At 44.2% G+C, this 12,199-nt stretch overlaps 1 protein-coding gene, 1 long non-coding RNA gene and 1 pseudogene across 34 annotated transcripts in view, besides 4 other annotated features; 1 reads left to right on the forward strand and 2 right to left on the reverse strand.

The window, feature by feature from the left end:
* ALG8 (ALG8 alpha-1,3-glucosyltransferase) overlaps positions 1–9,091 on the reverse strand; it is a 38,681-nt gene extending 29,590 nt beyond the window's left edge. For 27 of the 32 annotated variants that reach the window (NR_189148.1, NR_189149.1, NM_001425231.1 and 24 more), the window contains exon 1: positions 8,959–9,091. Coding sequence is in view for 25 of the 32 variants with exons in the window: in NM_001425231.1 (NP_001412160.1) it covers positions 8,959–9,053 (95 nt within the window). In the remaining 7 variants the exon portion in view is untranslated. Of the gene's footprint in view, positions 1–4,694; positions 4,813–8,174 lie in introns of all 32 variants that reach the window. The other 5 variants (XR_001747956.2, XM_005274247.4, XM_047427578.1 and 2 more) reach the window with 3 other exon arrangements.
* Positions 2,885–2,987, reverse strand: RNU6-126P (RNA, U6 small nuclear 126, pseudogene; annotated as a pseudogene).
* Positions 8,674–8,783: an enhancer, noted in NCBI's record as "active region_5314". NCBI's record gives its function as "activates an Ori minimal core promoter by ATAC-STARR-seq in GM12878 lymphoblastoid cells {active_cell/tissue: GM12878}" and the evidence as "EXISTENCE:reporter gene assay evidence [ECO:0000049][PMID:35858748]".
* Positions 8,864–8,943: an enhancer, noted in NCBI's record as "active region_5315". NCBI's record gives its function as "activates an Ori minimal core promoter by ATAC-STARR-seq in GM12878 lymphoblastoid cells {active_cell/tissue: GM12878}" and the evidence as "EXISTENCE:reporter gene assay evidence [ECO:0000049][PMID:35858748]".
* Positions 9,258–12,199, forward strand: part of KCTD21-AS1 (KCTD21 antisense RNA 1) — a 34,185-nt gene continuing 31,243 nt past the window's right edge. Inside the window, exons 1-2 of one of the 2 annotated variants that reach the window (NR_102280.1) lie at positions 9,258–9,537; positions 11,060–11,167. This is a non-coding gene — a long non-coding RNA (KCTD21 antisense RNA 1). The remainder of the gene's footprint in view (positions 9,538–11,059; positions 11,168–12,199) is intronic. The other variant, NR_102281.1, reaches the window with a different exon arrangement.
* Positions 9,554–9,663: an enhancer, noted in NCBI's record as "active region_5316". NCBI's record gives its function as "activates an Ori minimal core promoter by ATAC-STARR-seq in GM12878 lymphoblastoid cells {active_cell/tissue: GM12878}" and the evidence as "EXISTENCE:reporter gene assay evidence [ECO:0000049][PMID:35858748]".
* Positions 9,824–10,534: an enhancer, noted in NCBI's record as "H3K27ac hESC enhancer chr11:77851405-77852115 (GRCh37/hg19 assembly coordinates)". NCBI's record gives its function as "activates a minimal SCP1, AML or CMV promoter by ChIP-STARR-seq in naive H9 embryonic stem cells {active_cell/tissue: H9 hESC(naive)}" and the evidence as "EXISTENCE:reporter gene assay evidence [ECO:0000049][PMID:30033119]".

Genomic DNA, 12,199 nt, shown 5'->3' on the forward strand with positions numbered 1-12,199 from the left:
TGGATTTTGTATGGAATTCTAGGTTGAAATTTACTTCCACTGAACTTTGGAAGCTTATTCCATTGGTTTTTAGTATAAAATGTTGATGTTGGTAAGTCTCTTTACTTTATGGTTTTCCCTTCATCTCTGGAAGTTTCCTGTTTCTCCTTTTTATCCATAGCAGTCTGAAATGTCTAGTGATTAATGTCTTCATGAGGGTCTTTTTTCATTAATTATGCTGAGTATGTAGTGCCTTCAGCTCTGGGAAATTTATTATTTGTTAATCTCCTCCCCTGTGTTTTTTTTCTGAAATTTTTTTAGATGGATGCTAGACACCCTAGATTGAACTTATAATTTTTATCTTTTCTCTTATATTTTTGAAAGATTTACTCAATTTGTCCTTAATTTTGGCAATAACATTTTCTATTAACCACTGTTTCTCTGATAATTCCTGTTTCATAGCATCTGTTCTTGTTTTATAGACATGTCTTTTTTACTCTCTTTGGAGACAGCATTTACAAAATCTGAGTGAGTTTGGGGACACTTTCTTTTCCTATATAGTTGTACTATATAGACTTTTTCCAGTCTCTTTTTTGGGTGCTTTATTTTGTTGTTTCCTATTCAAAACTGTTGGAGACTTCACTTTTGTTGGAGTGCTGGGATTACAGGCGTGAGCCACTGCACCCATCAGTAAAAGTAATCTTAATTGCTGAAATGACACTTGAAAAAAAAAGCAAAACTAAGACTAGAGACATAATGATAAATAGTAACTACTTTTTTAAATTGCATTAACAAAATCTACAATCAGCCGAGCACAATGGTTCATGCCTATAATCCCAGTACTTTGGGAGGCCATGGTGGGAGGATAGCTTGAGGTTGGAAGTTCAAGACCAGCCTGGGCAACATAATGAGACTCCCATCTCTACAAAAAACTTAAAAATTAGCTGGTGTGGTGGTGTGCACCTGTAGTCCCAGCTACTCAGGAGGCTGAGGCCAGAGGACGGCTTGAGCCCAGGAATTTGAGGCTGCAGTGAGCTATGACTGTGCCACTGTAATCTAGCCTGAGCAACAGAGTTAGACTCTGTCTCTAAAATTTTTGACCACCATCTCCAGCTAATTCTTTGTATTTTTTGTAGAGACGGGGTTTCATTATGTTGCCCAGGCTGGTCCCAAACTCCCAAGCTCAAGCAATCTGCCTGCCTTGGCCTTCCAAAGTGCTGGGATTACAGGTGTGAGCCACTGCACCCAGCCCTGTCTCTAAAAATTAAAACAAACAAAAACCTACCATCTCTTACTTGTCCTATGATAGCTTCTTAAATTGAACTCCCCATCTTCACTCAGGCCCTTCATTAATCTAGCTTTCACATTGCAGCCAAAGTAGTATTTCTAAATCACGAATGTTATATTTCCCTTTTAACTGGCCTCTGCCCTCTGGATAAAATCTAAAGTACTCAACATAGTCTAAAAGATATTTTTGGATCTCGCTTACTCACCTTTTCAGCCCATTTCTCACCATCCTCCCACCTGTCTTTGTCTTACTCTACATTCACCTTTTCCCTCTGCCTGCAACACTCTGTGTGAGGTAGGTTCTTTAACTCTTACCATTTCACCAGTGGCGTAGAGAAGCAGCTTGCCCTGTCATGTAGCCAGTATGCAGCAGAGCCAGATTCTAACCAGGGCAGTCTGACTCCCTAGCTACGGCTCTTAAACCACCAAATACTTCCAAAGTTAGTTGTTATTTTCTCTGCAAATCCTTCCTGACCTCAAGGCAAAATAAATCTTTAATTTGTCCATTTCTATCTCTAATGCCACCACTCCAATTCAAGTCAGCATCTTCTCTCATGTAGACTTTCTCAAAGGGCACCTAGCCTTCCTGACTCTCCTTCTGCCTCCTCCAATCATTTATATGGGAGCCAAAAAATATTTTATAAATGCAGATCATTTCCACTGAGCTTATAAAATCAAAATCTAAATTTTTCATCCTGGCTTTATAAGCTCCGGCATGATTTGGTGCCTATCTTTCCAATTTCACTGTGCATGTTTCTGTCTCTGTTGCTTATTCCATGCCAGCTACACTGGCCTTATCATAGCTGCCCAAATAGGTCAATACTTTCACACCACAGGGCCTATATTTATACAGTGTGCTCTTTCAGATAAGTTCTACACACTTGCACACACCACATACTCTGCATGGATGGCCCTCTCATTCACACTTTAGGCCTCCAATGATGTCAGTTCCTCAGAGACATTCTCTGACACCTAACTGAAAGTACATCTTCCTTCTTGGTCGCCTGATAGGATCCTGTTCTTCTTCTTCCATTTTTTTTTTTTTTTTTTTTTTAGATGGAGTCTCACTCTGTCGACCAGGTTGGAGTGCAGTGGCGCTATCTCGGCTCACTGCAAGCTCCGCCTTCCGGGTTCATGCCATTCTCCTGCCTCAGCCTCCCCAGTAGCTGGGACTACACGCGCCCACCACCACACCCGGCTAATTTTTGTATTTTCAGTAGAGACGGGGTTTCATCGTGTTAACCAGGATGGTCTCGATCTCCTGACCTCGTGATCCGCCCGCCTCGGCCTCCCAAAGTGCTGGGATTACAGGCGTGAGCCACCACACCCAGCCTCTTCTTCCTAATACTTAATCCAAATTGTAGTTATGTAACTATATATTTGCATTGATTTGTTTCTTGTACTGTTATACTTACTGAACTACACACTTCACAGGGCTAGGGATCATATCTATTTTTTCCTCCCTTCTAGCCTAGCAACAGTACCTGGTACATAATAAAGCAATTAGTAAATGTTTTGTTGAATATATCTGCATTTATCCTGTAACTTCCCTCTCATATCCCAGGGGTTTCTGGTTTGAGAAACAGAGCATTAACTACAATTAAAAACATTCGTTTTTAAATATATGAAGTGTTTCATAAATTTGCATGCTATCCTTGTGCGTGGACCATGCTAAGCTTCCTGTATCATTCGATTTTAGTGCAGGCATACCTTAGAGATATTGTGGGTTTAGACCACCATAATGAAGTGAATATCGCAATAAAGTGAGTCACATGAATTTTTTGATTTCCCAGAGCATGTAAAAGTTATGTTTACACTGGCCGGCCGCGGTGGCTCACGCCTGTAATCCCAGCACTTTGGAGGCCGAGGCGGGCGGATCACGAGGTCAGGAGATCGAGACCACCCTGGCTAACATGGTGAAACCCCATCTCTACTAAAAATACAAAAAAAATTAGCCGGGCTTGGTGAGGGGCGCCTGTAGGGTCAGCTACTCGGTAGGCTGAGGCAGAAGAATGGTGTGAACCCGGAAGGTGAGCTTGCAGTGAGCCGAGATAGCGCCACTGCCCTCCAGCCTGGGCGACAGAGCGAGACTCCGTCTCAAAAAAAAAAAAAAGTTATGTTTACACTATACTATAAAACGTGCAATACTACTATGTCTAAAAAGACAGCGTACACCTTCATTTTAAAATACTTTATCGCTAAAACAAAGCTAATGATCATCTGCACCTTCGGCAAGTCCTAATCTTTTTGCTGGTGGAGGATTTTGCTTCAATGTTGATGGCTGTTGATTGATCAGGTTTATGGGTGCTGAAGATTGGGGTGACTTGTGGCAAACTGGTTTTTTTTTTTTTTTGAGATGGAGTCTCACTCTTGTCACCCAGGCTGGAGTGCAATGGTGTGATCTTGGCTCACTACAACCTTCGCCTCCTGGGTTCAAGTGATTCTCCTGCCTCAGCCTCCTAAGTGGCTGGGATCACAGGTGCCCACCACCACACTTGGCTAATTTTTGTATATTTAGTAGAGACGGGGTTTCCCCATGTTGGCCAGGCGGGTCTTGAACTCCTGACCTCAGGTGACCCGCCCGCCTCAGCCTCCCAAAACGCTGGGATTACAGGCATGAGCCACTGCGCCTGGCAAGACTGTGGCAATTGCTTAAAATAAAACAACAATGAAGCTTGCCACATTGATGGGCTCTTCCTTTCACAAAAGATTCCTCTAGTATGCAATGCTGTTTGATAGGATTTTACCCACAGTAAAACTTTCAAAACTAGAGTCAATCCTTCTTCTCAAACCCTGCCACTGATTATTAACTAAGTTTATATAATATTCTAAATCCTTTGTTGTCATTTCAACAATATTCACAGCATCTTCATTAGCAGAGTGCATCTCAAAAGAAACCACTTTCTCTGCTCATCCATGAGAAGTAACTCCTCATCCACTCAAGTTGTATCATGAGATATCATGCAGCAATTCAATCACATGCTCAGGCTCCACTTCTAGTTCTCTTGCTATTCCCATGACATCTGCAGTTACTTTTTCCAATGAAGTCTTGAACCCCTCAAAGTTATCCATTGGAGTTGGAATCTAATTCTTCCAAACTCTTGTTAATGTTGATATCTTGACCTCCTCCCATGAATCATGAATGTTCTTAATAGCATCTAGAATGGTTTCAATTTACTTTGCCCAGATCCATCAGAAGAATCACTATCTATGGCAGATATAGCCTTATGAAATGTATTTCTTAAATAACAAGACTTAAAAGTCAAAACTGATTGGGCATGGTGGCTCACGCCTATAATCCTAGCACTTTGGGAGGCCAAGGCAGGCAGATTGCTTGAGCACAGGAGTTCAAAAACAGCCTGGGCAACACAGCAAAAACCCATCTCTACTAAAAATACAAAAAATTAGCAGGGTATGGTAGCACACACCTTAAGTCCCAGCTACTTGGCAGGTTGAGGTAGGAGGATTGCTTGAGCCTGAAAGGTGGAGGTTGCAGTGAGATGAGATCATGCTACTGCACTACAGCCTGAGAGGCAGAGTGAGACCCTGTTTCAAAAAAAAAAAAAAATCAACTACTCAACTGGCTGCAGAATAGATGTTACATCAGCAGGCATGAAAACAACATTAAGGTTGGGCACAGGGGCTCATGTCTGTAATCCCAGAACTTTGGGAGGCAAAGGTAGGAGGATTGCTTGAGCCTAGGAATTCCAGGCCGGCCTGAGCAACACAGTGACCCCATCTCTCCAAAAATACATTTAAAAAAAAAGCCGGGCATGGTGCTCACGCCTGTAATCCCAACACTTTGGGAGGCCAAAGAGAGCAGATCACTTGAGGCCAGGAGTTCAAGACCAGCCTGGCCAATGTGGCAAAACCCCATCTCTACTAAAAATATAAAAATTAGCAGGGCATGATGGTGTGCACCTGTAATCCCAGCTACTTGGGTGGCTGAAGCAGGAGAATCACTCGAACCCGGGAAGCTGAGGTTGCAGTGAGCTGAGATTGTGCCACTACACTCCAGCATGGGAGACAGAGTGAAACTCCGTCTCAAACATAAATAAATAAGAAAAAAAAAAAAGAAAAATAATGGGTGGGTGCAGTGGCTCATGTCTGTAATCCTAGCACTTTGGGAGGCCAAGACAGGTGGATCGCTTGAGGTCAGGAATTTGAGACGAGCCTGGGCAACATGGTGAAACCCCATCTCTGCAAAAAATACAAAAAGTTAGCTGGGTGTAGTGGTGTGCACCTGTAGTTCAAGCTACTTGGGGAGCTGAGATGGGAGGATTGTTTGAGCCCAGGAAGTAGAGGCAGCAGTGAGCTGAGATCATACCAGTGCACTCCAGCCTGACAAAGTGAAACACTGTCTCAAAAAAGAAAAGAAAAAGGAAAAATATTGACCAGTGAGGTGGCTCAGGCCTGTAATCCCAGCACTTTGGAAGGGCTCACTTGAGCCCAGGAGTTCGAGATCAGCCTGGGCAACACAGTGACACCTCGTCTCTACCAAAAAGAAAAAAAAAAAACAAACCAAAACAAAACACACACATATAGATAGATAGACAGACAGATAATAGAGAGAGAAAGGAAAAAAAATTAGCTGGGCATGGTGGCATCTGTCTTTGTCCCAGCTATTCGGGAGGCTGAGGGAGGAAGGCTGCTCAAGCGCAGGAGATTAAGGCTGCAGTGAGCCATGATGGTGCCGCTGTACTTCACCCTGGGAGATAGAGCGAGACCCTGCCTCTAGAAAAAAAAAATGTTTCTGAGCAGTAGGTCTCAACAGTGGGCTTATTCAGTAAACCATGCTGTAAATAGATGTGCTGTCATCCAGGGCTTTGTTGTTCCATTTATAGATCACAGGCAGAGTAGATTTAGCATAAGTCTTAAGGGCCATTGGATTTTTAGAATAGTAAGTGAGAAATGGCTCAACTAGATGTCATAGATGGCATCTTCCAATGTAAGTCTGTTTCTTCTACCTTGAAAACCTATTGTTTAGTGTAGCCACCTTCATCAGTGAGCTTAGCTAGATCTTCTAGAAAACTTACTGCAGCTTCTACATCAGCACTTGCTGCTTCACCTTGTACTTTATTATGGAGATGGCTTCTTTTCTTCCTTTTTTTTTTTTTGAGACAGAGTTTCACTCTTGTTGCCCAGGCTGGAGTGCAATAGCGCGATCTCAGCTCACTGCAACCTCCACCTCCCGGGTTCAAGTGATTCTCCTGCCTCAGCCTCCCAAGTACCTGGGATCACAGGCATGCTCCACCACGCCCAGCTAATTTTGTATTTTTAGTAGAGACGAGATTTCTCCATGTTGGTCCTCAGGTGATCCGCCCGTCTTGGCCTACCGAAGTGCTGGGATCACAGGCATGAGCCACCGCGTCCGGCCGATGGCTTCTTTTCTTAAAAGAACCTCTGCTAGCTTCCAAATTTTCTTCTGCAACTTCCTCACCTCTCTTAGGCTTCAAAGAATTGAAGACTTAGGGCCTTGCTCTGGATAAGGTTTTGGCTTAAGGGAATGTTATGGCTGGTTTGATCTATCCAGACCACTAAAACATTCTCCATATCATCAAGGTTGTTTCACTTTCTTATCACTTGTGTATTCACTGGAGTAGCACTTTTAGTTTCCTTCAAGAACTTTTCCTCTGCACTCACAACTTGGCTGTTTGGCACAATGGGCCTAGCTTTCAGCCCGTCTTGGCTTTCAGGATGCCTTCCTCATCAAGCTCAATCATTTCTAGCTTTTGATTTAAAGTCAGAGATATGTGACTCTTCCTCTCACTTGAACACTTAGATGCCACTGTAGGGCTATTAATTGGCCTAACTTTATTATTGTATCTCAGTCAACAGCAAGGCCTGAGGAGAGGGAGAGAGATGATGGAACAGCTGGTTGATAGAGCAGTCAGAACACACAGCATTTATTAAGTTCACCATAGTGTTGCCCCAAAGCAATCAGAATAGTAGTATCAAAGATCACTGATTACAGATCATAACAAATATAATAGCAATGAAAAAGTGTGAAATATTTCAAGATTTACCAAAATGTAACACAGACACAAAATGAGCACATGATGTTAGAAAAATGGCATTGATAGAGTTGCTCAATGGAGAGTTACCGCAGCCTTCAATTTGTAAAAAAAATGAAAATGCAGTATCTGTGAAGTGCAATAAAGCAAAGTACAAAAAATGAGGTATTCCTGTACATGTGCTGCCAAAGTGAGCGCTATATACATTCTTAACCTGGACCAAGAGCAGTATTCAAAATAACAACTCTGGCCAGGCACGGTGGCTCATGCCTGTAATCCCAACATTATGGGAGGCCGAGGCAGGTGGATCACTTGAGGTCAGGAGATTTGAGATCAGCCCTCCGCCATCATGGTGAAACCCCATCTCTACTAAAAATACAAAAATTAGCCTGGCGCGGTGGTGCAAGCCTGTAATCCCAGCTACTCCGGAGGCTGAGGCAGGAGAATCGTTTGAACCCGGGAGGCAGAGGTTGCAGTAAGCTGAGATCGTGCCACTGTACTCCAGCCTGGGTGACAGAGTGGGACGAGACTGTCTCAAAAAAAAAAAAAATAACAAACAAAAAAAACAACTCTGAGGATACATTTCTAGCCTGAGGCAACTAAAGCAAGAAATAATCTTATGCACAGACCTACAGTTAATCATTTTACTGAATCTACATATACATTCCACTTACATGATTACATATACGCATCAGTATGGACTTACATTCTATACATATGACTCTCCCATATTCAACAAGAGATCACCAAGAGCCTGAATCAAAGGATACCAATAAAACAAACCCTAAACTAGGAAGTGGGAGGGAAAGGAGAAAAGGGATGAGGGAGAAAAAGAAAAAAGAGGAAGGATGAAGGGAAGGCGGAAGCCAATATTAATAAATACTGAGTACCTACTGTATACACACCACCATTTCATGGTTGCTTCTTGGTTTCCACGCTTTCAGTCTTGGCCCTACATCCATTTTTTACACAGCAGTCTAACTGTGGTCTTCGAAACCCTGTGTTATCTGTCCCCAGTGCACCCCATGCTGTGCCACTCCTCTCCCTCAATGCTCTGCAGCCACAAGGGGCACTTTCTGTTCCTAGAATGCTCTGACTTCTTTCCTGCCACAGGGCCTTTGAACTTACTCTTTCCTATGCCTGAACTGCTTTCCACATCACTTATTCTTTTTCATTTTTTGAATTTCAACTCAAACATCACCTTCTAAAGGAATAGCGCACAGCCACTTAGTAACCCTCTATTTCCTTTATCACAATCTGAAAAGTTCCTGTTTGTCTAGCTCCACCCACCAACTTCGAGGGCAAGGACCAGCAATGTCTTGCTCACCACCGCATCTCCCGGGAGTTAGAACGGTACCTGGCACCTCAGGCATCTGATAATACTGGCTGAATGGCTGTTGGAGGCAGAGGTTCTTAACTGCCTATTAAGGATGAGGACCCTGAGGTTCAGAAACGTTAAAGTGATTTGTTCCAAATCAGACAGCGCCAGGTCTGAACCTAGCCAGCTGGGGCTAAGTCAAGTAACAACTGGCGAAACAGAAAGCTTAGCAAAGGCAGGATAGCGACAAACACGACCTAAAGTTTTCTCTTCATACCCAGGGATATCCACACCTTTCTCTCCCGCCCTGACCGACCGCGGGGCCTCCCCGCCCAGCCCCTGGCCGTGCGAGTCCCTTACTATGTGGGGATGAGAAGGCATTTGAGAAGAGTCACCCCGAGCGCCAAAGCCGAAAACCAATTGCCAGTACCCGTGGCAATTGTGAGCGCCGCCATTGCTGCGGCACCGCACGCTTCCCACCAACTTGATCCACATCCGGGATCCCGCGCATGCGGAGAAAGCCCTCTGAAGCCGTGCCCGCTAGCTGCGCGCATGCGGCGAGCGGCGCAGCCAGTCCGGGGACTGCAGTCAGCTATTTAAACCTCCCGCCCACCTTTTCTTTAGACCCGCGTCTCACCCCGGGCCGGAAGGGCTCCTGCGCAGGCGTTTGTAGCCACTTTTAAGTTTTATCAGCTAGTTCATGCTTGCGTTGAAAGAGTGGTCGTTTGCGCTGGGTCATCACTGTGTAGTATTGGGGATACTTAGGTGAGAAAAAAACTTAACGCTAGAGACGTTCACGCACTAGTGGAGAAGCCAGGATTGTTGCCCTAGAGTTACAGTAGATAAAAGTACCTCAGAGAACTGCGGGGGCTCCCAACCTGGACGCTTGCACCGGAGTATTAAATCCAGCTAGAGAATGGCATGTGCAAAGATACAGAGGTGAGAAACATTGTGTTTTTAGAACTCTGAGCGAGGCTCTTGGCTCACCTCCTGCTTGAGCGGAACCCATTCTGGAAGCAGGGTAGAGGCTAGTCCTAACGCTTAGTGTACAAATAGCCTACGGTTCATGTTAAAATAATTCGGATTCTGATTCAGTAGGCCCAACAAACTCGCAGATTGCGTAATGACTGAGGCACATGCAATTTAATTAGGCTTGTCTCATTATTTTACTGTATGATCTTGGACAAACTAAACTCTAAACCTCAGTTTCTTTTTTTAAAATTTTTATTTATTTATTTATTTTTGAAAATAGGAGATAAAAATGGTTTCTGGCCGGACGCGGTGGCTCACGCCTGTAATCCCAACACTGGGAGGCCGAGGTGGGCGAATCACCTGAGTTCAGGAGTTTGAGATCAGCCTGGCCAATATGGTGAAACCCTGTCTCTACTAAAAATTAAAAAAAAATTAGCCGTGCATGGTGGCGGGCGCTTGTAATTCCACCTACTCGGGAGGCTGAAGCTAGAGAATCGCGTGAACGTGGGAGGCGGAGGTTGCAGTGAGCTGAGATCGCGCCATTGCACTTCAGCCTGGGCAAGCCTCAGGCCTGTTTATCCAAGATGCTTTTGGTCTAAAAAAAAAAAAGTTTCAGCCTCATAAACTGGTTGTGAGGATTAAATGAGAATGCATGTAAATTGCTTGATATGATTCCAGGACAGAATAAATGCTCAATAATGTGTCAGATCAGTTAATTATCTTGCTGAAAGATGCACAGCAAGTAGGTGACAGTGTCACCTCCCTAATATGAGTTTATGCCCTCCCACAGCTTCAGCTGCCACCCATGTGAATATGATTCACAGATTTCTAGCTCAGCACTCTTCTCTCACTTTCAGACCCTGGTCTCCAGTTGGCTACCTGACCTCACGTAGATGTTTTTGTTTTGTTTTTGAGAGACAGGGTCTCATTCTGTGGCCCAGGCTGGAGGGCAATAGTGCAAACACAGCTCACTGCAGCCTCGATCTCCTGGGCTCAAGCAGTCCTCCCCACCTCAGCCTCCTGAGTAACTGGGACCACAGGGATGTGGCAACGTGTGTGTGTGTGTGTGTAGAGATGGGATCTCCCTATATTGTCCATGCTGGTTTCAAACTCCTGGGCTCAAGTGATCTTCCTGCCTCAGCCTCCCAAAGTATTGGGATTACAGTTGTGCGCCACCATGCCCAGCTACTTAGATGTTTTAAAGGCACTTTGCATTAATTTTCTATTTCTGCTGTAAGAAATTACCATAAACTTAGTAGCTTAAAACAACACAAATTTATTCTCTTACAGTTCTGTAAACCAGAAATCTAAAATCAGTCACTGGAGTAAAGTCAAGGTGTCATTTGGATTGGTTGCTTCCAGAGGCTCTGCAGGGAGATTGTTTTTCTTGTCTTTTTCAGCTTTTAGAAGTTGCCTGCATTCCTTGGCCCCTTCCTCACATCATTCCAACCAACTTCCATCCTTACAATCGATTACTTTCCTGTAATAGCTACAGTCAAATGGGCAGCTGAAGATGATGATGATGATGATCTTGACACCGAGAAGCAGAAGACCAATGAAGATGACCAGACAGCAAAAAAGGATAAGTTAAAAGAAGGTAAAAGAAGGCCACTCGTACTTGCTGTCTCAGTATCTAAAGGTGGTCACCTTCCAGTAGAGAGGCCCACCCACTGCAGACCGTGCCACCGAAGGTGACATGCACTTTCTGCCACCCATCCAAAACCGTAACGTGAATCTGCAACAGGAGAGGAAAGAAGAACCAAAACTTCCAAGGCCTTGCATTTTTTCTTAAAAGCATTTTTTTTTTTTTTTGGAGATGGAGTCTCACTCTATTGCCTGGAGTGCAGTGGCGTAATTTCGGCTCACTGAAGCCTCTGCTTCCCGGGTTTAAGAAATTCTCTGCCTCAGCCTCCCAAGTAGCTGGGATTACAGGCACATGCCACCACACCTGTCTAATTTTTGTATTTTTAGGAGAGACAGGGTTTCACCGTGTTGGCCAGGCTGGTCTTGAACTCCTGACCTCGTGATCCACCTGCCTTGGCCTCCCAAAGTGCTGGGATTACAGGCCTGAGCCACTGCACCTAGCCAAAAGCATTTTTTAAAGAAAAATTGGTCTATATTTTTTGTTTCTACTTTATATCTTTGTACATATTTTTAGAGTGCAGGCATTTTTAATAATCTTGGATGACCAAAGCAGCTTTCAGAATGTTCTTTGCCCAACTTCTGACTTTACTTGTAGTGTGACCATGTTCATTAGAATCTCAAAGGAGGAAGAAAAGAAAAAACAAACTTGTAAAAAATGAAAAATAGATCTGGCGAGGTGATTCACGGCTGTAAGCCCAGCACTTTGAGAGGCTAAGGCGGGTGGATCACCTGAGGTCAGGAGTTCGAGACCAGCCTGGCCAACATGGTGAAATCCTATCTCTACTAAATATACAAAAATTAGCCAGGTGTGGTGGTGGGTGCCTGTAGTCCCAGCTACTCAGGAGGCTGAGGCAGGAGAATCTGGAACCCCGGAGGCAGAGGTTGCAGTGAGCCGAGATCGCACCATTGCACTCCAGCCTGGGCGACAGAGTGAGACTATCTGAAAAAAAGCAAAAATAGGCCAGGCATGGTGGCTCATGCCTTG

This window comes from Homo sapiens, chromosome 11 (assembly GCF_000001405.40).
Source record: "Homo sapiens chromosome 11, GRCh38.p14 Primary Assembly".
NCBI classification, from domain to species: domain Eukaryota; kingdom Metazoa; phylum Chordata; class Mammalia; order Primates; family Hominidae; genus Homo; species Homo sapiens.